Source organism: Homo sapiens, chromosome 17, assembly GCF_000001405.40.
Source record: "Homo sapiens chromosome 17, GRCh38.p14 Primary Assembly".
NCBI lineage: Eukaryota > Metazoa > Chordata > Mammalia > Primates > Hominidae > Homo > Homo sapiens.
Window position 1 is genome coordinate 3589478 of NC_000017.11, and position 24679 is coordinate 3614156.

The 24679-nt window shown below is 53.7% G+C and overlaps 2 protein-coding genes across 5 annotated transcripts in view, besides 2 other annotated features; both read right to left on the reverse strand.

Moving 5' to 3' along the window:
* The window catches only part of TRPV1 (transient receptor potential cation channel subfamily V member 1), a 43966-nt gene extending 24032 nt beyond the window's left edge, over window positions 1–19934 (reverse strand). Inside the window, exons 1-7 of one of the 4 annotated variants that reach the window (NM_080704.4) lie at window positions 19832–19934; window positions 18950–19088; window positions 2590–2906; window positions 1710–1876; window positions 1487–1639; window positions 775–915; window positions 330–628 (exon numbers count right to left, since the gene is read on the reverse strand). In NM_080704.4, coding sequence (NP_542435.2) covers window positions 330–628; window positions 775–915; window positions 1487–1639; window positions 1710–1876; window positions 2590–2873 — 1044 coding nt within the window. In that variant the 5' untranslated portion in view covers window positions 2874–2906; window positions 18950–19088; window positions 19832–19934. Of the gene's footprint in view, window positions 1–329; window positions 629–774; window positions 916–1486; window positions 1640–1709; window positions 1877–2589; window positions 3401–6186; window positions 6355–7440; window positions 7566–18949; window positions 19089–19831 lie in introns of those variants that run through there. The other 3 variants (NM_018727.5, NM_080705.4, NM_080706.3) reach the window with 3 other exon arrangements.
* Window positions 4833–5333: an enhancer, noted in NCBI's record as "H3K4me1 hESC enhancer chr17:3497604-3498104 (GRCh37/hg19 assembly coordinates)". NCBI's record gives its function as "activates a minimal SCP1, AML or CMV promoter by ChIP-STARR-seq in naive H9 embryonic stem cells {active_cell/tissue: H9 hESC(naive)}" and the evidence as "EXISTENCE:reporter gene assay evidence [ECO:0000049][PMID:30033119]".
* Window positions 18763–24679, reverse strand: part of SHPK (sedoheptulokinase) — a 28011-nt gene continuing 22094 nt past the window's right edge. Inside the window, exon 7 of the mRNA NM_013276.4 lies at window positions 18763–21495. Coding sequence (NP_037408.2) covers window positions 21083–21495 — 413 coding nt within the window. The 3' untranslated portion in view covers window positions 18763–21082. The remainder of the gene's footprint in view (window positions 21496–24679) is intronic.
* Window positions 19824–20325: an enhancer, noted in NCBI's record as "H3K4me1 hESC enhancer chr17:3512595-3513096 (GRCh37/hg19 assembly coordinates)". NCBI's record gives its function as "activates a minimal SCP1, AML or CMV promoter by ChIP-STARR-seq in primed H9 embryonic stem cells {active_cell/tissue: H9 hESC(primed)}" and the evidence as "EXISTENCE:reporter gene assay evidence [ECO:0000049][PMID:30033119]".

Consider the following 24679-nt stretch of genomic DNA (forward strand, 5'->3'; position numbering starts at 1 on the left):
AAGAGTGAGTCACCGTGCCCAGCCCAACAGCTATTCTTCTGTTCCACCCTAGGCAGTCCCTCCTCCATTGCCCAGCACCCTACCCCACCCCATGTCTTGTTGCTGATACTCAGAGCTGGAAATTCAAAATGGCACGTTGGCCATTGCAGGGTTCTGCCCTGTGGCTCCCAATTTCTCAGACTTATTCTAACAGCCCTACAGGCTGGTATGACAGAATCAGAGTCCCGCACACACAGATAGCGACGCCAGGCTCCCGCAGTGAGTCAGGCAGTCCTCTCCCATGCCATCAGCCCCGCACCGCACCAGCCTGAGCCGAAGCCCCCTCTTACCCCGATCTTCCCGGTCCCAGCTGCCAGAGCCAGCGGCGTCATTCCCTTCTTGTTGGTGAGCTCCTCCAGCTTCAGCGTCGGGTGCAGTTTGGCCCCCAGCATCAGAATCTCATTGTACATGCTCGTCACAAACTTCGTGTTGTCGGCCGTGTTGTCGGCCACCTCCACCAGGGCGTGCAGCACCGTGTTGCCCACCGAGTCCCTGGCGCTGATGTCGGCCGTCTGCCAGGAGTTCTGCAGCAGGAACTTCACGATGCCCAGCTGGTTGGTGCACGCGGCCAGGGACAGGGGCAGTTCACCTGCATGAACACAGGGCCCAGGTGGGCCTCAGGAGTGAGATCCAGCTGGCCCCTGAACCACCGGCCTCCAAACTCCCTCTGTCTCTGCCCAAACCTCCCCTTAGCAAAAGCCAAAAAGATCAGGGTCTGCCACACTGTCTCCCTACCGAAGTAGAATCCAGGCCGCCCTTTGGTTTTCTTAAAGAAGTCCCCATGGGCCGCAGCCTGGACGTCTGCTCCGTTCTCCACCAGGAGGGTCACCAGGGCCATGTTGCGTCTCTCGATGGCGATGTGCAGTGCTGTCTGGCCTACAGAGGACGCGCACGGTTGGCTTCGTGGTCACGGTCCTGTGGGGCTGCCGGGACAGGTGCTGGGGAAGGGCTCTGGGCAGGCAGCAGCTGCTGCAGGAGGAACTGGGCAGAAAGTGCCTGGAGGACCCCCCCACTGCAGGAGGCCAGGCCAGGGTCCCCCAAGGGGTCCCAGCAAGGTCCTGAGACAGGAGACCCCTGGGAACAGGAAATAACGGGTTGGAAGCCAGAGGAGTCAAAATTGCCCCGGGGGCAAGGAACAGCAGCAGAGAGAAAGGCCAGAGGCTGTGACTTCCAGGGACAGGGACCATCCAGTCAGCAGGGGGAGGCAGGGACTTCTCAGGGTCAAGAGAGGAGACATCAGATCGGGGAGGCAGAGACCCCCAGGACCAGGAGAAATCAAGCCAGCAGATGGGAGAGGCAGGGACCCCCTAGGATTAGGAGCCACCAACGCAGTGGCTGGGACAGGGAGTAAGGATCCCAGAGAAGCAAGGAGGCCCAGGGACAACCATGCCCCCCTGCTTCCCGGTGCTGCGGGCTGAGCCATGCCCGGCCCCGCCGCCCTCCTCACCCTTGTAGTAGCTGTCCGTGTAGCTGGCGTTGACAAGCTCCTTCAGGCTGTCCGTTTGCCGCGCGATCTCCAGGAGCAGGGGGATGGTGGTGTTCTGTCCGTCGTGCAGGTTGAGCATGGCTTTCAGCAGACAGGTCTTCCCTGTCTCAGGGTCTGAAAGACATAAGGGAGGGTCAGGGCAGGCCAGGGCTGGGGCCCTCCCCGAGCCCAGCGCTGGGGCCACCTTTGAACTCGTTGTCTGTGAGGTGCTTCTTGCTCTTCTGCAGGAAGAGCAGCAGGCTCTCCAGATCCTGGCAGTTATTCTGAGCAACGGCTTCAAAGATACTCCTGCGATCATAGAGCCTGAGGGTCTTCTCGGTGCTGGCGGCGACAGAGTCCTGGGACAGCAGCCTGTGGGCCAGAAAACACGCTCGTCTCATACCCTGGCCTCCCCTCGGCCCTGAGGCCTTCGGAGCTTGTCAAGGGAACACGACTAAATCCCAAGGCAAACCAAAAAGGGGAAAAATGATATAAAAGCTGCCCCTCAGTCTAGGTGACTGTCCAGAAAAGCAATGTAACAGGGACAGTGGAGGGCATGTGTCCCCATTCTGTCCCCACCCTGTCTATAGACACCATCTAGAAAGTCACCCTCCTACTCCCAGACCACTGGCTTCTCTGCCTGCTCGGGAGCTCGGGAGGCAGGAGCCTGGTGGGGACGGAGGGAGGTGGAGGCAGGGGTGTAGACAGCCCCTCTAAGGGAAAAGGTGGCCTCACACTCCCCAGAAGTCAGCCAGCCTGTGGCCCTCCCTGCCCTGCCTTGCAGCTCACTGGAGCTGTGCTGTGCTCTCCAAAAGCCTCCTGCCCTTGAGCTTTTAGACTTCAAGTCCAAGTGTCTGTGGCTGGTAGGCATTGCGGGCGTGGACACCTAGACCCAGCACAGACACCAGCCCCCGTGACTGCACATCCCACGAGGTCACATGAGGAAGGACGCTGGACCAGACCACCCCTAAGGCTCTCCAGCCCCCTGGCTTTGTGACATTTAGCCCAGAAGCCAGACCACCCTGTGGCATCTCCATGGCCAGCTGGGCTCCCAGCAGGGAGGGGGGCTCCAGACGCGGACTTACCTGGCACCGGTGGGGCCGTCTCCTGGCCTCTGGATGGTGATAACAGGGCTGACTGTGATGGTCGGGCAGGAGTCCAGCTCACCTTCCTCGTGAGGGCAATCCACCGGGAAAGCCTCCTCCGAGTCACCCTTCCCAAAGAGCCGGGTGCGGCTCTTGGCCGTGGAGAGCTGGGGCTTGGCTGGAGGTGGCCTGGAGTTAGGGTCTCCATCCAGGGGGTCTGGGCAGGTGTCCTTTTGGAGTGGGTCCGCAGCTGCCCCCAAGTCTGTGCTGCTCCATTTCTTCATCCTTGCTGGATCCTCTGTGGCCCAGTGTGCAACCTGCAGCAGCCACCACGCCGGGGTTGACTCCCAAAGTAAGGACTGCTTGTCCTTAGACCCCACCTGCCCTCCTTGCCAAGGGCCCTGTGAAGCAGGGTACCCCAAAACTCCAACTTGCTGCTGCCCCCAGCCCCCTAGAACTGAAGTGTTTCCAGGACTGAACCTCTCACCCCAGAGGCCTCAGAGGTGAGCAGGCCTAGCAGGGCCCAGGCAGTCCTGCGGCCACTGACGTCGGCCTGGGAGGGTGGACAGGCCCCCGGCTCAGAGCCATCTGTGGTTCTGGGTTAGACCCATCCCTCCTCGTCTCTGGGCCTCAGGTGCCTCCTCTGCAGGGTGAGGTTGATAACCACCGCGCTGCCTCCCTCCCCACACAGAACAAGGAAAACGGCCGGGGTGGCTGTCGTGGGCTGAATTCAGGGAGGATCTCGGTGATGAGGATGGCTCAGTCCAGAAGAGCCAAGCAGACTGTGTCCCTGGAATAGGGTGAGCGGCAGAGACTGGCCCACCCACACCCACACCGCACTGCGGGGCCCTGCTGTGCAACGGGTCCACACATCATCAGCCAGGTGCCCGGCCTGCCTTTGCTCTTCAACCTCGCTGCCACAGCCACTGAGCTTATACGAGATTTTGGATTTTGTGCTTTTTGTCATTTTTATGAATCAACATCTGTCAAGCATCCTGGCCTTGAATGTTTAGGCGTGTGTGTGTGTGTGTGTGTGTGTGTGTGTGTGTGTGTGTGTGTGTGTGTGTGTGTCTGTGTGTCTCACTCTGTCGCCCAGACTAGAGTGCAATGGGGCAATCTCTGCTCACTGCAACCTCCACCTCCCAGGTTCAAGCGATTCTCCTCCCTCAGCCTCCCAAGTAGCTGGGATTACAGGCGCCCGCCACCATGCGTGGCTAATGTTTGTATTTTTAGTAGAGACAGGGAACGTTTAGGCTTTAAGTGATTTGGAGCTGGTTGGTCTTCTAGGCCTAAACACCTAGAGATCAGCTGGCCGCTGGCAGCAGCATGTGTAGTTGGACACATGAGCTGATGCTATTTTCCACTCCCATCCTGCCCCATCCCCATGCTTCCCCTCCCTCTGGCTGGGCATCCCCACTCCCTGGCACCCAGGGGTGGCCCATACATCCCTCCCATAGCCTCTATTCCCATCGGGTCTCCACCTAAGGGCTTTTTCCTCTGTCTACCCTTGCACAAGTCCTATCACCACTCAGATGCTACTTCCCCTCAGGATCCAGCACTGATGCCGCCTCCTCCATGAAGCCCCCAGATCCCTGCCCTGCTCATGCTCCCCGCTGTCCTCCACACAGTGGCCCAGCCCACTGACCGCCTGTCCCACACAGCCTACCATGTGGTCCAGCAATTGCTATCTGTCACTGATTTATCTCTCCCGCACCCTGTGACCTCCTCCTGGGCAGGGACCTTTCCTGGTCCATCTCCTTATGAAGAAGCTGTACTGGCCTGGGCGCGTGGCTCACGCCTGTAATCCCAGCACTTTGGGAGGCCAAGGCAGGTGGATCACCTGAGGTCAGGAGTTCGAGACCAGCCTGGCCAACATGGTGAAATCCCATCTCTACTAAAAAAAATACAAAAATTAGCCGGGCGTGGTGTCGGGCGCCTGTAATCCCAGCTACTCGGGAGGCTGAGGCAGGAGAATCGCTTGAACCCAGGATGTAGAGGTTACAGTGAGCTGAGACTGTGCCACTGCACTCCAGCCTGGGCAACAGAGTGAAACTCTGTCTCAAAAAAAAAAAAAAAAAAAAAAAAAGAAGCAGCAGCAGCAGCAGCAGCAGCAGCTGCACACATGGGGAAATAAGAGCAATCAGACCCTTCTAATTGCCATTTCCATAGGAAGTTAGGGAGATTACTGTTCCAGCAGTGGCTACATTCCGGAAAACAGCCGCAGAAGAAATGAGAGGCTTCTCAAGTCCTGCATTTTCTTTTTTTTTTTTTTTGAAATATATAATCAGGCAATCTCCCAAGCCAGAATGGCTCAGAGAGACTCCCAAGTCCTACATTTTCAAGTTAAAATTCAGGCAGTGAAACTCCAGAGCACACAACTGGGCCATGGCTGTAAACCAGCTACGTTCTGAATCTCAGATCCATGAAAACACAGAGGCAGCCTCACCACTCCGCAGGCTGTGAACAGGACGGACGGCTGGCTACTGGCCATCTCCCTGCCTGCCTGTTGATCCACTTTCAACAGGCCTGAGTCTTTCTCTGACTCACCCATCAGGTGGACCCCCTGCAGCAGGAGTGTTCCCGGCCACAGAAAGCCGATTCCCTCATCTCATCACTCAATACCTATCTACTGAGTCCTCCTCCTCAGAGTCCAGCCCTGCGCTGGGGGCACAGAGAGGAGTCAGCTCCCCGCTGAGACAGAAACCAGGTACTGGCTGGGCGGAGGGACTGCAGGAGGGGGCAGGGTGCTGAAGAGGGGTCCATGGCAGTTGGTGATGGATGAGCTGAGCCTGGGAAGGGAACAGAGGTGGGCTAGGGTCTGGAGACAGACAGGGAAGCCTAGAGCAGCTGAAGAACGGGAAGTCAGTGGGACAGGAAGACAGGAGGCCGGGTTAGAACCAGATGGCCGTCAGCCTTAACTCCAAGGAATTGAAAGCCAACATGGTTGCATGGATGATGCTTTGGAAGCCTGGGGGGCCGGGTGCTAGTCTTCCCTTTCTGAAGATAACACCCCGTCAAGGACCGTTCACAGTGCGGACAGCCCTGGCAGCACTTAAAAGGCACCAGAAGCGAATGAGAAGCAGAATCGTTGATGCGTCTGAGCACGTGCACAAAGCAGACACGGTTCTCAGGACTCGCATTCCTTCACCCACTTCATTCCCACAACATCCCTAAGAGGGAAATACTTCACCGATGAGGAGACCGAGGCACAGAGCAGTTATGGCACGTCCCCGAGGTCACACAGTCAGAGATGGAACCCGGACTTGACCCCAGGCAGGCTGGCTCCAGAGCATCTCCAGTGCTCCACCACGATGCTGGAGGTCTGGGGCTCTTTCTCAGCAGTTCAACTCAGACCCAGACTCCACAGCAGGGCCTGGGGGCCAATCAGAATAGGCCCTCTCACCCAAGGGGCTAGGCATAAGACCTGAACCTGAAGCACCTCTCGCTCAAACAAGCAGCTCAGGAACCCCAAAATGCAGTGTGAATAAGACCCAGGTCATACCCATGCCTGGCTGTCCCAGGGATGTCTATGGTCTCCAAGAATAAGCTAAGAATAAGAATAGGGGCTGCTCGTTAGGCAGCCCAGCAAGAGAGCACCTGTTAGCCGGAGCCTCCCATGAACCTTTCGGCAATGTTCTTTGTCAGCGGCGTTGCCTTTTCCTCTGACGGGTCCCAGTCCAACCAAACCCAGCCAACAGGAAGCAGCCGGGATTGTGCTATCATTCAGTCAGTCGACAAACGCTGAATCTATACTGCACACTCTGCACCTGATTCCCTACTGGAAACCAAGCTTCTTCCAGGGAACGGGGTGGGACAGGAACTGAGGGGTCATGTGCCCTGGGCTGGGCCGGGGAACAGGGTCAGGACAGCCCTCCACTGCCAGGCCTGGAGTGTACCCTGCACCTAAGCCCGTGGTGATGCACCTGTCACCGCAAAACATTCTACAGTGATCAGGGGAACTTCTACCGTGATTTAGGCAAACGAGTGTTGGCTGTGTGATGGAGATGGTGATTCTGGTTTACACAAGACTCACAAACTCATCAATCTGGACTAAAGGACAATCCTAAAAGAATCGATTCTGCCCACAGAGACGTGGTATGATCTGAGTCTTTCTCAACTCCAAAGCCAGAACAGATACTGCCTACCCTCTGGGGGAAGGATCCCTTCTCTCCCCAATGCAAGTGAGACAACATGGGGTGTGGCTCCCCTGCTCCTCTCTCTGCCCAAAGCATCCATCCATCCATCCATCCATCCAAGTTCTTGGGAGCACCTCCCGCTCGCCACTGGGGACTTTCTGGAAGCTGGGAGAACGCTGGCCCAGGACCCAGCCAGATTATTCTCAGTAGTCCCTTCTGTCAAAGGGAGGCAGTAGGCTGCGGGCTTCCCAACCCAGGGGTGAAGAACAAAGAGATAGGACAGCAGCACAAGGACCCAGTGTGCCTGCTTCCCAGCCCTGCGCTCGTCCACTCCACAGAGAGGGCGACACGCTGAAAACCTCCGGCCACACACCAGCAATCTCAGCAGCAGCTGCAGCCTCCTCCCCCGAGGACGGCTGATGCAGGAGCAACAAGAACAAACCCCAGTAACAACAACCTCCACTCTCACCTCCCAGGTGCTTCCAAGGAGCCAGGCTGAGGGCACCACAAGTTCGCTTCAGCCTCACGACCACCTTTGAGGCAGCCACTCTTACTACCCCCCGTTTTCAGATAAGGTAACTGGGGCACAGAGAGGTGAGTGGACCTGCCCACAGTCGCACAGCTGGGAAGTGACAGGGCCCGGCTTTTGGCCACTCACTATGCCATCTTAAAAGCTAATGTCTGCATTGGCCATCAGACAAAGAAAGGGACTCACCAGCTAGACGCAGGCACACCCCAGGCCCACGGGTGCTTGTGAGCTTGAAGGCGGTTGCTACTCGAAGGGAGAGCTGGGCTCGTGTGGGAGAAGAGTGGTCTCCCCGCCTCCGTGGGGTCCCGGGCCCGGCCCTGGCAGCAGCTGCCCTGCACTAGCAGGAGTCGCTGTGGACGCCCTTCGGCACTCAAGGAAAAAACGCTTCCAGCGATGCAAGCAGCTGCCTTTGCTGCGGCTCTGATTCCCAGAGGATCCCAAAGCTTTTCCCATCATTTTTGCCCTTTTTCAGAAACCACTTAGCTGCTGCCCCTCCTCCAGCCATGCCAGGGCTGCAGAGCACTTACCAGAGCCAGCCAGAGCTGCAACCTCAGCTCTCAGGAAAGGAGGGCGCTGCTCGGCCTCTCAAACCTGTGGCTCCTGCCCCCGGAGGTCTGGGAAACGGCTCCACAAATGACATTCACAACCAGCGACGTCAAAACTAGCGTCCTGTAACTGTTCCGTTTTCAAAATAAAGAGGGAATGGAGGGTCGTGCTGCCCGCCACACAGTACTGGCCTGGCATTAGGGACTTGTTTTGAGAGTCCGAGCAACCTTGAACTAGTCCCTAACTCTCTTAGGCCTCTCGTTCCTGGGTCCCCAAACCTGGAGTAGGGGTTGGCGTCGAGGGGGTCTTCTGGGTCAGCCAGGTCCCAGCCTTTCTTCTCAACTGGGGGTTCCTCAGGGAACCACAAAACACAGATAACTATCAGTGTCATTTCCTTTTTTTTTTTTTTTTTTTGAGACAGAGTCTTACTCTGTCGTCCAGGCTGGAGTGCAATGGCGCGATCTCAGCTCACTGCAACCTCCACCTCCCAGGTTTAAGCGATTCTCCTGCCTCAGCCTCCCGAATAGCTGCAATTGCAGGCACCTGCCATTGCGCCCAGCTAATTGTTGTATTTTTAGTAGAGTCAGGGTTTCGCCATGTTGGCCAGGCCGGTCTTGAACTCCTGACCTCGTCATCCACCTGCCTCGGCCTCCCAAAGTGCTGGGATTCCAGGCGTGAGCCACTGCGCCCGGCCACAAGTGTCTATTTTCTCTCTTCACTTCATACCACCCTAAATGCACAGGAGAGAAGACCCACAAGAGAGAAACGCACAGGAGAGAGTCACATACAGCAGATAACTAGAACAATAGGTTTCATTCTCTCCCAGACCCTGGCTGAGAAAAACAGTGAGGTCTAGGTATGCATCCAGGCTGCGGCCCAAATGCCCTGCAAAAACCATCCTAGCAGCTGCCTGCGGGACGCCAACAAGCCGTAGGGCAGGTCCAGCCTGGAATAAGCAGCCACTGCCAGGGAGGCCCTCGTAACCCTGCCTGGGGTCGCTTGAAAGCTCTGACCCCTGAGTCAAGGCATTGAAGTGTGGCCACCCCATCAATTCCGCACAGCAGTTGACAAAGAGCTTTCCCAAACCCGCTCTCGCAGGCCGTACAGCAACCCCGGGCAGTGGGAGGGCAGAGACTGTCATACCCATTTTACAGGTGAGAAATGTGTGACGCTGGGCAATTAGACAACCGATAATTAGATAATTGCCCAGGCCGCACGTTGGTCTAGGCATAAAAGCCAGGCCCATCCCACCACGCCACACCCCACCATACCCCTCGCTTAGTCACTTTTTTTTTTTTTTTTTTTTTAGATGGTGTCTCGCTCTGTCTCCCAGGCTGGAATGCAATGGCGCAATCTCGGCTCACTGCAACCTCTGCCTCCCAGGTTCAAGCAATTCTCCGGCCTTAGCCTCCCAAGTAGCTGGGATTACAGGCACGTGCCACCACGCCTGGCTAATTTTTGTGTTTTCAGTAGAGGCTGGGTTTCACCATGTTGGTCAGGCCTGGTCTCAAACTCCTGACCTCAAGTGATCCACCTGCCTCGGCCTCCCAAAGTGCTGGGATCATAGGCGTGAGCCACCGCGCCTGGCCGCTTAGACACCTGTTTATGCTATGTGTGTCATGTTAGCTTCAATTAATATGAACGTTAGAATTCATTCTTGTTTATAAATTGTGGCAAAAGGCCGGGCGCGGTGGCTCATGCCTGTAACCCCAGCACTTTGGGAGGCCGAGGCAGGTGGATCACCTGAGGTCAGGAGTTTGAGACCAGGCCTGACCAACATGGTGAAACCCCATCTCTACTAAAAATACAGAATTAGCTGGGCGTGGTTGTGGGCACCTGTAGTCCCAGCTATTCGGGAGACTGAGGCAGGAGAATCACTTGAACCCGGGAGGTGGAGGTTGCAGTGAACCAAGATCACACCATTGCACTCCAGCCTCGGCAACAAGAGCGAAACTCTGTCTCAAAATATATATTTATATATTATAATAAGTTGTGGCAAAATATATATAACAAAATTTACCGTATTAACCATGTTTAACAGTACAGTTCAGTGGCACTCAGTGCATTCACACTGTTGTACAACCATCAGCATCATCCATGCACAGAACTTTTTCATCATCCCAAACTGAAACCCTGCACCCATTAAACACTAACTCCCCTTCCCGACCCCAACCCCCTAACGACCACCATTCAACTTCCTGTCTTTATGAATTTAACTATTCTAGGAGTCCTCTGGTCAGGAATCATACAGTATTTGTCTCTTTGCTTTTTGTGACTGGCTTCTTTCACTTAGCATAATTTCCTCAAGGTTCATCCATGTAGTAGCCTGTAAGAGAATTTCCTTTTTTTCTTTTCTTTTTTTTTTTTTCGAGATGAAGTCTCACTCTGTCCCCCAGGCTACAGTGCAATGGCGTGATCTCAGCTCACTGCAACCTCCACCTCCCTGGTTCAATCAATTCTTCTGCCTCAGCCTCCCGAGTAGTTGGGATTACGGGTGCATGCCACCACACCCAACTAATTTTTAGTAGAAATGGGGTTTCACCATGTTGGCCAGGCGGGTCTCGATCTCCTGACCTTGTGATTCACCTGCCTCAGCCTCCCAAAGTGTTGGGATTACAGGCATGAGCCATCACACCCAGCCCTCCTTCCTTTTTAAGGCTGAGTAATATTCCACTGGGGCGTGGGATGGATGGACCACATTTTGCTCATCCATTCACCAGCTGATGAACACTTGGCTTGCTTCCACCTTTGGCCATAGTGACTAGTGCTGCTATGAACATAGGCGTGCAAATATCTGGTCCTGTCCCTGCTTTCCATTCTTTTGGGCACATATAGACCCAGAAGTGGGATCTGTCATATATAAAAGACTCAGCAGTGGTGACCTCTCAACTTTCTAGTCCTCTGGGATCATTTCCTTCTAACAATGTGGGATAGAGCAATGGCTGGGAAAGGGGATGGTCATGCTTCTTCTCCAGAACCATTGCCTTAGCCTCCAAAGTGATTTCTGCCTCCAATAAAGACAGCACGGAGCCGGGCACGGTGGCTCAAGCCTGTAATCCTAGCACTTTGGGAGGCAGAAGTGGGCGGACTGTCTGAGGTCAGGAGTTCAAGACCAGCCTAGCCAACATAGTGGAACCTTGTCTCTACTAAAAATACAAAAAATTAGCTGGGCGTGGTGGTGCACGCCTGTAGTCCCAGCTACTCTGGAGGCTGAGGCACGAGAATCACTTGAACCTGGGAGGCAGAGGTTGCAGTGAGCTGAGATCACACCACTGTACTCCAGCCCGGGCTACAGAGCGAGACTCCATTTAAAAAAAACAAAACGAAACAAAACAAAAGACAGCACCATTTCCAGTGAACACAGCACACATCACTAAATGTGTCCTGTCCTCTTTGTTAACAGAGCCCTTGGTGCTAACAGTATCACCGGAGTCTACAGGGCACAGTGCCTGCTCAGAGGCCTGCAGGGGAAGTCCCGGCCCTCCTCCTGCCCTGGCCACTCCTGCCGGGACTCCCTGGCTGCTCTCCTCTTCTTGCCGTTCCCCACACCTGGGGGTCCAAGGACCCCGTCCGCAGCCTTATCTTCTCCAGCTCCACCACTGTCCTTGGAGACCTTCGCCTGGCCCCTCCCAAGGACCTCTCTGATGTGTCCAAGTCAGCGGCTGCTTCATCCAGAGTCCACCCAGCCCTCTTCCCTGAGCTCCATCCCTGCCTCCCTGAATCTGCAGGTGAAGCCCACAAGCCCCCTCCCCCCAGCATAACCCACAATGGGCTCCTGTTCCCTCCACATTCACTCCCCTCCCGCTCCCTGCAGCAGTCCCTGCCTGGAAAGGCATCAACTTCCTTCTGGCCACCAAACCCGGTGCCCTTTGTGACCTCCAGCCTCTCCTTCTCGGCCCTCCCTGGGCTGTTTCTGTGGCTTCCGTCCATCCCTCCTCTACCTGGGAGCCCCTTCTTCTCACCTGAATGACCAGAAGTGCCTCCTTTCCCTGGTCCAACCTCCCACAACCCCTCACCTCCAGATCAACAGTCCTGGAAGCTCATCCTGATCAGGCCCCCTTGCCTCTCAGGGGTCCCCACTGCTGAGCAACGCCCCACCCCCGCACCCTGAGCCCACAGACCCAGTCTCCTCTCCCACCGAAACCCACCTTCTGTCACCTGGGCACACCCCTTCCCAGCCACACTAAACGTGCTGACTCCACCCTTTCCCCCACCCTCCTCCATCCCAGTACCCCACTTAACCCATCTTCAAGTGCGAGGTGAGCCCTAGGGATGCTCAAATCCCACCTTCTCCCAAAGGCCCCAGCATAAAGAGCTCATTTCTCACCTTTTTTTTTTAAAGAGGTGGTATCTTGCATTGTCACCCAATGCAAGGGACTCACAATCATAGCTCACTGCAGCCTCCACCTCCTGGACTCAAAGGATCCTCCTGCCTCACCCTCCCAAGTAACTGGGACTACAGGTGTGCACCACCACGCTCGGATTTTTTTTTTTTTTTGGTAGCAACAGAGTCTCGCCATCTTGCCAGACTGGTCTCAAACTCCTGAGTTCACGTGATCCCCCACCTCAGTCTCCCAATATGCTGGGATTACAGACATGAGCTACCACGCCCAACTCCAGAAGTGCTCACTTCTAAACTCCTACAGGAACTTCAACCAATGCGCTTCCTATGGCAACGGGCACAGTACTCATGGCCACAATGATGACAACAGTAATGGCTGTGAATATGTGTTGAGTGCGTACAACGTCCTGGGTGTTGGCATGAGCACTTTATATGCACTATCTCATCAGACCTCAGTAAGAGTTCATGAGGTGAGTACAATTTTGTCCCCGTTTTACTGATAAGGAAAGAAGCACAGACAGGCTACACACCTGCCGAAGGACAGTGACAGCTCTACTAGTCTCGTCTGGAGCTTTCTAAATCTTGTATAGACATGTAACGTCATGATTTTCTTGTGTCTTGCTTTGCAGATTTAAGCAGCTCCAGGGTGAGATACATACGGCTCTCGTGCCCTCCCCTCTCTGAACCTAGCTTGCACCTTGCTCAAAGCAGCACTCAGGAAACGTTTGTTGGCGTGGTTTTTGGCTTTATCTGAACAGCACCTTCACGGAGTGATTCCACTAAAACTCTCGACATGGTGGCGGGGACAAGACCTCAGGGCTGGCCATCACTGCCATCAGTGTGGTTTTCTGGGTCATCATTTGAAACAGGATGTTCTTGCATTTATGTAATGATGTACCCATTAAAACTCCTTGTGAGTAGAAAAGTTTTAATGACTTCTGGGAGGGAGGGTGGTTTTCTAAGTTCAGGTTTGATGGGAGCGAGAGGCAGCTCAGGAAAGCGTCTGCGGACGCGCCAGCCAGCGGCTGGGCCAAATCTGGAATGGCAGATGCTAAACACCGCCACCGTCGCTAATGGTGACAGTTTTCTCTTAGTGTTACCACTAGGGGGCACATTGACTTAAGCTGAGTTCTTGACATTAAGCTGAGCTCTTGACACTGGCCATCGGAGACAAATTTCTTTTCTTCACTCACCTGGGTTCCTCTCAAGATTCGAGCCCCAGCCGGCCTCAGTGGCTCACGCCCGTAATCCCAGCACTTTGGGAGGCCGAGGCGGGTGGATCGCCTGAGGTCGGGAGTTCGAGACCAGCCTGGCCAACATGGAGAAACCCCGTCTCTACTAAAAATACAAAATTAGCCAGGCGTGGTGGTGCATGCCTGTAATCCCAGCTACTCGGGAGGCTGAGGCAGGAGAATCACTTGAACCCAGGAGGTGGAGGTTGCATGAGCTGAGATCACGCCATTGCACTCCAGCCTGGGCAACAAGAGCAAAACTCCATCTCAAAAAATTAAAATTAAAATTAAAAAAAAAAAGAAAAATACCCTCCTTCCTGCATTTCGTCTCTGTGTTCCTGTCACCGGGTGCCCAAGAGTCTAAAAGACCAGCTTCCGTGGAGGGCAGCGGTCTGCGAGCCGGTCAGCACCCTCCAGAAGTGGCTAGAGCTTGAAGTCTGAGCTGGGGAGGGGTCAGACACCCAGTCAGCACAGAACGCTGGAGCCCCGCTCTGCAGAGCTGTGTTCCAGGGCAGGGACTGGGAACAAGAGGGACGAGGGCCAATGGAGGGTCAGCAGGTGGGTAGAACCTGGACCTTGGATGGAAGAGGCCCGCGTGTGCTAGATGCCGGCTGTATGGACTCCGGCTGGTAGCTGAACCTCTGGGTCTACTTCTTCCTCCACAAAATTACAGCCAAGAACACCTGCCCTACCTGCTTTACGAGGCTTTTCTGGGATTAGTCAGGATAGTGGGTGTGAATGGGCTCTGAGCCTGGTAAAGCTCTAGGCAGGCATGAGAGATGACTGCTCTCATCTTCATTATTTCAGCCTGAGGACCACATCTGCTGACTGCTGAGCTGTATCCGGCCATTAGCTCGAAGTTATGACTAATTGTTTTTTAATGAAAAAAACAAGGTTTGCTTAATGTTTGATGAGTCACGCAAGTGAGCATCTCTGTATCAGGACTCTCCCACTTTCAAAGACTTGGCCTGTCCATCTACCTGTGGCTGAGGGGAGAGGCCAGGTGAGACCCTCTCTCCTGAGGGCCCACCATGTGCTATACAAATCCCCTAGCAGAGCAGTAGGGTCAACAGGGTGGTCTCTGCGCTCAAGAAGCCCACGATGGACAGGAAAGGAAGATGTGCACAGGCTCTCTCTTGACACTAGGCAGGGCAGGGCACCCTGTAACAGGCACAGGCCAGGGGCTCTGGGGCCAACAGACCATGCCAACAACAAATGTTGAGCCGGGTCTTGGCCTCCCCTGCAGTTGTAATCAGATGGCGTATGTGTCACCAGGGAGGCCCTTTGCAGAGGGCAGATGCCATTTGGGCTGGGCCTTGGACAAGGAGAAGGATTCTGCCCCACAAGGAGGACATTCCAAACATGGGCCTTGGCATGAGCTAAGGTGCAGGAGGACAGGGCTGAGGACACCTAGGCACCTGCTCTCAAAGAGCTTTCAGTCCACTTCAGAAGAAGAGAAAAATAGGCCAGGCGTGGTGGCTCATGCCTGTAATCCCAGCACTTTGGGAGGCTGAGGCGGGCGGATCACCTGAGGTCAGGAGTTTGAGACCAGCCTGGCCAACATGGTGAAACCCCGTCTCTATTAAAAATACAAAAATTAGCTGGGTGTGGTGGCAGGCACCTGTAATCCCAGCTACTCAGGAGGCTGAGGCAGGAGAACTGCTTAAACCCAGGAGGCGGAGGTTGCAGTGAGCCAAGATCGCACCACTGCACTCTAGCCTGGGCAACAGAGGAAGACTCTCAAAAAGTCTCAAAAAAAAAAAAAGAAAAAGAAAAAGAAAAAAAGAAGAAGAAGAGAAAAGTAGAGAACATGAAAGCCACATACACATGATGTGGACGGGGTCAAGGCCCAGAGGCAGGCAGTGTGTGGCGGGAGGAAAAGCAGCGGCTGGTGGGCTGGAGTCCCCTACCCTGCCCTGAACTGGGTCTGGCCCACCATCTCTCCAGGCTGTTTTACAGCCTCCTGTCTCCCAGAACACCCTTCCTCCAATCCAGCGTCCACACTGTCAGCTACACTCCCAAGGCCCCAGTCCTCCAAACCCCACTGTCTACAGGAGACAGTCCAATCCCCTCAGGCGGGCATGCAAGACCCTTCACAGTCTGCCCAACACGTCCAGCCACAACTCCTATAAACATCCTTCCATTCACACTATGACCAAGTTACACCAATTTGTCACACTCTGGACATGACGATCACTTTAATGTAAACACATTTACCTAGCCTGACCCCACTGCCTAGTTGCTAAAGAGAGTGGGTTCGCTCTGGGGTTTGAATCCTAGCACTGTGATCTCAGGTAAGTTACTTAACTTTTTTGTTTATCTATCTCTCCATGTGTGAAATGGGGATAACACTACCCACCTTCTAGATTAAATGAGGCCTGGCATGGTGCCTCATGCCTATAATCCCAGCACTTTCCGAGGCCGAGGTGGGTGGATCACTTGAGGCCAGAAGTTCAAGACCAGCCTAGGCAACATGGCAAAACCCCGTCTCTACTAAAAGTACAAAAAATTAGCCAGGTGAGGTGGTGTACACCTGTAATCCCAGCTACTCGCGAGGCTGAGGCATGAGAATTGCTGGAACCCGGGAGGCTGAGGTTGTAGTAAGCTGAGATCGCACCACTGCACTCCAGCCTGGGTAACAGAGTGAGACTCCATTTAAAAAAAAAAAAAGATTCAATGAATTCAAACAAGTAGAGTTTAGATCAGATCCCAGTACACAGCAGGTACTCAAAAAGAAATGTTAACTGTCGTTAGTAACCATGGATGGAAACCCTTGGAGGTTTAGCTCAATGTGACTTGTGTAAAGAATGAATTTCTCCTCCCTCTGGGCATAGAGGTGCTGTCATTGTCTGTGTCTTTTTCTTTTCCTAGGGTCTGTTTATGTAACCAACTGTTGGTATTTTTCCATTGCCTCGTGATGGAAATTCAACGGGGGGCAGTCTCTGAGAGAACACCCAGCTACTACTGGGCGCTCAGAAAATGTGGCTGCCTGGGTCTGTGCTGGGTGCATGGGAGACGTCCCAGGTGCAGGCTACTGAGGCTGCTCTGCTGTGGTGACAACCCCCAAATCTCAGTGGCTTCAAACATCAAAGGTTTATTATTTATTTATTTATTTATTTATTTTAAAGACAGAATCTCGCTCTGTCTCCCAGACTGGAGTACAGTGGCATGATCTCAGCTCACTGCAACCTCCGCCTTCCAGGCTCAAGCGATTCTCCTGCCTCAGCCTCCCAAGTAGCTGAGATTACAGGTGCCGACCACCATGCCCGGCTAATTTTTTTGTATTTTTAGTAGAGACGGGGTTTCACCATGTTGGCCAGGCCGGTCTCGGAACTCCTGACCTCAAGTGATCCGCCCTCCTCGGCCTCCCGAAGTGCTGGGTTTACAGGTGTGAGGCACTGCACCAAAGGGCGCTTACTTCTCTGTCCCACTGCACGTCCCTCGCTGGTTGGTGAGAACTCTACACCACACTGTCCTCACTCAGGGACCCAGGCTGACAGAGCTACCACTCTCTGGGGCACTGCCAGTCACTTGTGGCAAAGGGAAGGGTGTGTGGCAAGTAGCTCACTGGCTCCTAAAGACCTCTGCCCAGGAGTGACAGGCATTCCCTGTGCACGTCCCACTGGCCGAAGCGGATCGGGGGGAAGGTGCAGCCCTGCCGTGGGCTCATAGCATCGGGATACTGACGGCCAGCAAAGGAGCCCCGCTCACCACTTCTTCAGAAGCATGCCGGCCTCAAACCACTTACTGGCACCTCCTGGGAAGGAGGGTGGGTTGTGCACGTGGTTGTGACTTCAGGCAGCTGCACTCATCCCCCACCTAGACGGAGGCTCCAGGCCTCAGGCAACGGAAGCAGCAGGAGCAGCCCTGTTTATTGACAAACTGGGACCCTCCAAGGCTCAGTCCTCAGAGGCAGAGTGAATGCATAGTCTGGAAAGAGGACAGAGAGTTCCGGGGCCACACCAGGCACAAGGCTGGGCTGCCTGAGCTTGCTGGATGTCCATCCCGTTCCTAACCTTACATTTGCAGACCCCATCCACTGCATGCTGGGCAGGCGAGACAGGCTGCCACTCTGAGATTAGACGGCCTGGCTCCTCCCAAAAGACAAAGGACGCTGGTAAACTCAGCCTACTCTTCTCTCTCATGCAGCCTTCCTCAGGGCTGCAATGACAGCATCTTAAACTCATTTGGCTGAAAGAAAAATTACAGTAGCAGGCCAGGCATGGTGGCTAACGCCTGTAATCCCAGCACTTTGGGAGGCTGAGGCAGGTGGATCACCTGAGGTCAGGAGTTCAAGACCAGGCCAACATGGTGAAACCCCATCTCTACTAAAAATACAAAAATTAGCCAGGTGTGGTAGCACATGCCTGTAATCTCAGCTACTCGGGAGGCTGAGGTACAAGAATTGCTTGAACCCGGGAGGTGGAGGTTGCAGTGGGCTGAGATCGCACCACTGCACTCCAGCCTGGGCGACAGAGGGAGACTCTGCCTAAAAGAAAAAAAAAATACAGTAGCCCCCTGTCATCCACAGGAGATATGTCCCAAGACCCTGCATAGATGCCTGAAACCAAGGCTAGTATTGGATCCTGCATATGCCATGTTTTTTCTACACATACATATCTGTAATATAATTTAATTTACAAATTAGGCACAGTAAGAGATTAACAACAACAATAAAGTAGAACAATTTTTTTTTTTTTTTTGAGGCAGAGTCTCGCTCTGTCACCCAGGCTAGAGTGCAGTGGTGCGATCTCAGCTCACTGCAACCTCTGCTTCCAGAGCTCAAGCGATTCTCCTGCCTCAGCCTCCTAAGTAGCTGGGATTACAGGCGCGTGCCATCATGCCCAGCTAACTTTTGTATTTCTAGTAGAGACGAGTTTTCACCACGTTGGCCAGGTTGGTTTCAAACTCCTGATGTCAGGTGATCCACCCGCCTCGGCCTCCCAAAGTGCTGGGATTACAGGTGTGAGCCCCCACACCCAGCCAAAGTAGAACGGTTTTAACAATACACTCTAATAAAAGTTATCACACACTGTGACCATACTTTTGCAGTTTGAGGTGTGACAGCAAAACTGGCATGAGGCTGGGGTCAGTGGCTCCCGCCTGCAATCCTAGTACTTTGGGAGGCCAAGGTAAGTGGATCACCTGAGGTCAGGAGTTCGAGACCAGCCTGGCCAACATGATGAAACTCCATCTCTACTAAAACTAAATTAGCCAGGCGTGGTGGCAGGAGCCTGTAATCTCAGCTACTCAGAAGGGTGAGGCAAGAGAATCGCTTGAACCCGGGAGGCAGAGGTTGCAGTGAGCCAAGATTGCACCACTGTACTCCAGCCTGGGTGACACAGTGAGACTATGTCTCAAAAAAAAAAAAAAAAAGGCAAAAAAAACTAGCACGAATTTCTTTTTCTTTAGAATTTCACAGATAGAAGATTCAGCATATGACTGTTTTCTTCCCATCTTTTCACTTAAAGGAAGCACCTTACGGTTTCTCTTTGGCATATCCGAACAGCCAGCATCACTACCAGCATCACTACTCTGGTGCTTTGGGGCCCTAATGAAGTAAAAAAAGACTGACCTGAACAGAAGCACTGTGATACCAGGACGGGCGATCTGACGACTAAGTGACTGACCGGCGGGGAGCATCTACGGCCTGGACGTGGGGAACACAGGGACGGTTTGCATCCCAGATGGCACGGCAGAGACTCTCCATCACACTGCTCAGAACAATGCACAAGGGAAAACTTGGGAACTGTTTGAAGAATTTTCCATTTAATATTGTCAGACCGTGGTTGACCGCAGATAACTGAACCCATGGAAAGTGACACCGTGGATAAGGGGGGACTACTGTGGACAGCTTTCCTGGGTGATTGGGAGACGTTTTTCTGGTAGAACACCAGGGCAAGGCTTTTCTGAGGATGATCTACGAATTCTCCCCAGAGCACTTCAACCTCCCAAACCAAGCTCTGCGGCTGTGCCATTGCACAGTCTTCCCACAGCAGAGAGGTGTGTTTTATTTAAGGCACAAGACTCTGGAAGAATGGGCTTTGTATTTATTTATGAGACAGAGTCTTGCTCTGTCACCCAGGCTGGAGTGCAATGGCGCGATCTCAGCTCACTGCAACCTCTGCCTCCCGAGTTCAAGTGATTTTCCTGCCTCAGCCTCCTGAGTAGCTGGGATTACAGGCATGCGCCACCACGCCCGGCTTGTATTTTTAGTAGAGACGGGGTATCCCCATGTTGGTCAGGCTGGTCTTGAACTCCTGACCTCAGGTGATTCACCCACTTGGGCTTCCCAAAGTGCTGGGATTACAGGCGGGAGCCAACATGCCCGGCCAAGAATGGGCTTTAGTATCTGACATTTGGCCAGAGTGATCAGGCATTTGCTCTCATCTTAGAGCTTCCAGATAATCACATAATTTGTAAAATGACATTTATAAAGAGACAATATGTTTCATACCTGTCATGGATACTGAGAGAGAGAGAGAGAGAGAGAGAGAGAATACGACTGCTTCCCAAACTCGTGGTTGCCAGCGTGACTCTGGGCCAGGCCTGCCTGAGCCTGGGCTCCTTTGGGAGTCTAGAAGTAGATGCGGCAATGGTGGCCCCCTCCTGGAAGCCACCCCACAGCCATCCCTACCAATCACAAGAAGGCTTACAACGCTCTGGGATCCCTACAGGGATGCCAACTCAAATGGATGTTTCTGCTGAGCCAGGAGCACACACTGGGCCAGCAAAGCCCACGCCAAGCGAAAGGAGAGCCTGGGCCTATGGGATACAGAGTTCTCTTTGAATAAACTACCTGCCCCATCTGGCAGGAGTCTGCCTGGCTGCATCCCTTCCCATGAGGGCTTCTGGAATGTGCAGGGGCAAAAACACTGCTGCACAGACATGCTCCTGGCAAGGGGTCCTGCTGGTGCCTTGTCAGGTTCTGGAGTGGTGTGAGCTGCACAGCATCGGTCCCCCTTGCTGCTCATGCCATCCGCCTCTCCTTCTCGCAACCTGCCTTCCAGGCAGTTGTGCTGTGAAGACCTGGGCGGCCTGGGTGCAGCAAGCTCTCCTGAGGCTGAGTACATGCAGCAAGAAGGCCGGCACACAGCCCCGCATCGTCTTCTGAGCCTGCCTGCTGCATCGCGCTTGGGTCAATCCCTGGCCCAGCTAAGCATCTGCAGCCAGGGGAGGATGAGACTAGGAAAGGGGCCTCCGGTCACATGGTTCAGTCCAGGAGACAAGAACTTTTCCAGAAGTCCATACGACCCGAGTGTGGGCTTCAGGTCTCCAAAAACGATAATCACAAGCTGGGCATGGGGCAGTTCTCTTTTCCCACTTGGGACCAAAGCCACCAGACTTTCTGGTGTCTGAAGTACACATTGATCTGCTCTCTGTCTACAGGTGAACCACAGATGAGCCTGCTGACCAGCAGGCTGGGCTACTGTGCTCTCATGCTCTCTCTCTCCCACATGGACATTTGTAAATAGCTCCCAGGTGGGTCAATTTCGGAAGGCACTCATTTGGGATCTGGCTGACGGCTCCTGGCTGCATTATTAGAGTATGTTCTGAAGGTAAGTTCTTGGCCGAGATGGGACCTCACAACAAGCACTGCTTGAAAGCTGTCCACTGAACGGTCCAGGGAAAGGATGACCCACAGATGGTGTCAGGAATGTTAATCAGGTAAAATTCACAGCAGTCGTTTGGCGAAAGAGTTTGCTGTCTAAGATTCCTTCTGGTTGAGGTGTCTCCGGAGCATGACCAGAGCTGCCCCGACAGCTGCATCCACATCCTGCCCAAAGGACATGGGCAAAGGGAAAGCCCTCTGCACCTCCTGCTTCAGCACGTCATTCCTGGACAGCGCACTCCCACTGCCCATCACCCTCTCCACGCCCCACTCCTGGAGCTGCTGAATCGGAAGCATGGAGTGCAGGTTCTGAACAATGCCTCGGCACAGAGCCCGGGTCACGTGCCCCAGGGAGAGGTCGGAGGAGGAGATTCTGGTCACTGAGGCCAGCTGGTCCGGCAGGTGCCTCTCCCCCAGCACTGTCGGGGTGATGGTCAGGTGGGTATCTCTCTGCTGCACAGCTGCCTGAATCATGCGTGAATACACAGTGGATTCTTCAACCTCCAGGCCTGCCAGAGACAGAGAAGATCTGTGTAAGCTCATGCGTCCCCCTCAGTGCAGGCTGACATGGCAGAGAATTCCCACAGGGTGGGAACAGCGCTACTTGCTGCTTCTCCTCCCGCTGCAGCTGGTGGTTCTGGGCTCAGGGACTGCTATAGCCAGGCTAGCTACACTCTGCCCTGGATCCCCGCCCGCTGTCTCAGTGCAGACCCCAGCCAGACATCAGGGTGAGGTCTCATTAAGTGCTGCCATGAGCCCTACCCCTAACACAGGCTTCTTAACCAAGGGGACCAAATGCATATACAGACTAATAACTATCATTGGCTGGGCGTGGTGGCTCACGCCTGTAATCCCAGCACTTTGGGAGGCCAAGGCGGGCAGATCACCTGAGGTCAGGAGTTCAAGACCAGCCTGGCCAACGTGGTGAAACCCTGTCTCTACTAAAAGTACAAAAATTAACCGGGCGTGGTGGCAGGCACCTGTAATCCCAGCTACTCAGGAGGCTGAGGCAGGAGAATCACTTGAACCTGGGAGGCAGAGGTTGCAGTGAGCGGAGCTTGCACCACTGCACTCCAGCCTGGGCAACAAGAGCAAGACTCCATCTAAAACAAACAAACAAACAAAACTATCATCATGGATGTCATTGGGGTCGTTAGCAGCATCAGAAATCCCAGGATCCAGGACCAATCACTGAATGGGCCACCCTCGTTATGTGCACAGGGCACCTGAAATCCAAGGAAGAAGGATGAGTTGACCATCCTACAACTTGCTTTTCAGTGTCAAGCCAGAATCCCGATCGGACTTTTCTCCCTGACACCACGTTAGCTCTGCGGGTTTTTTTTTTTTTTTTTTTTTTTCTGAGGCTCGCTGTGTCACCCAGGCTGGAGTGCAGTGGCACATATCCTATCGGCTCACTATAACCTCTGCCTCCCGGGTTCCAGCGATTCTCCTGCCTCAGCCTCCCAGGTAGCTGGGATTACAGGCCCACACCACCACACCTGGCTAATTGTGGTATTTTTAGTAGAGACAAGGTTTTACTACATTGGACAGGCTGGTCTCAAGCTCTCGACCTCAAGTGATCTACCTGCCTCAGCCTTCCAAAGTACTGGGGTTACAGGCATGAGCCACCATGCCCCGCCAGCTCTGCATTCTTAAAACAAACAAACGAAAAAAAAAAAAAGGCCAAGCGCGGTGGCTTACGCTGTAATCCCAGCACTTTGGGAGGTCAAGACAGGCGGATCACTTGAAGTCAGGAGTTCCAGACCAGCCTGGACAACATGGTAAAACCCTGTCTCTACTAAAAATACAAAAATTAGCCAGGTATGGCAGTGTGTGCCTGTAGTCCCAGCTACTTGGGATGCTGAGGCATGAGAAACGCTTGAACCCAGAAGGCAGAGCTTGCAGTGAGCTGAGATGGTGCCACTGCACTCCAGTCTGGGTGACAGTGCGAGACTCAGTCTTAAAAAAAAAAAAAAAAAGCCTTTGGTTTCGATACACTTTGACCTTAGAATCACTTTTGATCTATAACCTCGCATGACCTGAGGGAAAGCAAACATCACCTTGATAAGAAGAAAGTTATCAACATCAGGGTTTCTTGAGAGCACTGTGGGCCCCATCTCCAGACTTTCTGATTTAACTGGTGTGGGTTGCAGGCTGCGGGCTGGAATTTGTAAACACTTGCAGTTGATTCTTATACACAGCCACGCTGGGGAGCCCCCGACCTAGACCTAGGGCTTCTCCAGCCTAGGGCTTCTCCAACCTGAACATACAGATGAGTCACTCAGGGATCTTTTTTTTTTTTTTTTGAGACGGAGTCTTGCTCTGTCACACAGGCTGGAGTGCAGTGGCGCGATCTCGGCTCACTGCAACCTCTGCCTCCCAGGTTCAAGCAATTCTTCTGCCTCAGCCTCCCGAGTAGCTGGGACTACAGGTGCATGCCACCACTCCAGGCTAATTTTTGTATTTTTAGTAGAGACGGTGTTTCACCATATTGGCCAGGCTGGTCTGGAACTCCTGACTTCGTGATCCGCCCACCTCGGCCTCCCAAAGTGCTGGGATTACAGGTGTGAGCCACCACGCCCAGCCAGGGATCTTTTTAACACATAGCTTGGACTCAGATTGCCTAGGGCTGACCCTAACATTCTGCATTTGTTAAAAGCTCCCAGAGGAAACTGTACTCCAGGCCAGTAGACCAGGCTTTCTGAGGAGACAGTTCTAGAGCAGTGCTTATTAACACTTCAGGCCTCAGAATCACCTGAGGAACTTTTATAAAACTCATGCTCAAGGCCCACACCCCAGGTCCAATAAATCAGCATTTCTGGGCGTGGGACCAGGATGCAACGATGTTTTTAAACTCCACAGTATTTCCAGGGTGTGGTCAGTGCCAAGACCCACCAATCTAGAGAGTCACTGAGGAGTCACGCCATGGGAATGTTTAACCTCTGCAAATGCACAGGTGCAGTGGTATTATTTCAGCTCACTGCAACCTCTGCATCTCGGGTTCAAGTGACTCTCCTGCCTCAGCCTCCCGAGTAGCTGGAATTACAAGCGTGTGCCACCACACCTGGCTAACTTTTGTATTTTTAGTAGAGACAGGGTTTCACTATATTGGCCAGGCTGGTCTCGAACTCCTGACCTCAGGTGATCCGCCCGCCTCAGCCTCCCAAAGTGCTGGGATTACAGGCATGAGCCACCGCGCCTGGCTATTTTATTTTTTAAATCATGTGCTTATCTTTCTTTAGTAAAAGTTCAGGAAAAAAAGTTTTCTTTTTTTTTTACAGACAGGGTCTTGCTATGTTGCCCAAGCTGGACTTGAACAACTCTGAGCTCAAGCAATCCTCCCGCCTCGGCCTCCTGAGTAGCTGGGATTACAGCCACGTGCCACCATGCACAGCGCCAAAAAAGGTTGGAAGGGAAGGTTAAAACATACTCTTCCTCCTCTCTGGGAAATACTTGGGCCATGACCCAAGCTCTGGGGTACCTGAAGGAAGGTGCATACCAGCTGGAGGCCTGGAAGAGAGGCCTGGCCTCTAGCAGAGTGCCTGCGTCCTCAGCTCCCCCAGTCTATTTAGTGAGGACGAATGGAGGCGAAAGCTGCTATGAGCTGTTGAGTTAATTCTAACCCAAGGACTTAAGACCACAAGACACTGGAGATGGGAAAACAAAGAAGGGAAGGGACTTGCCAAGGCCAAA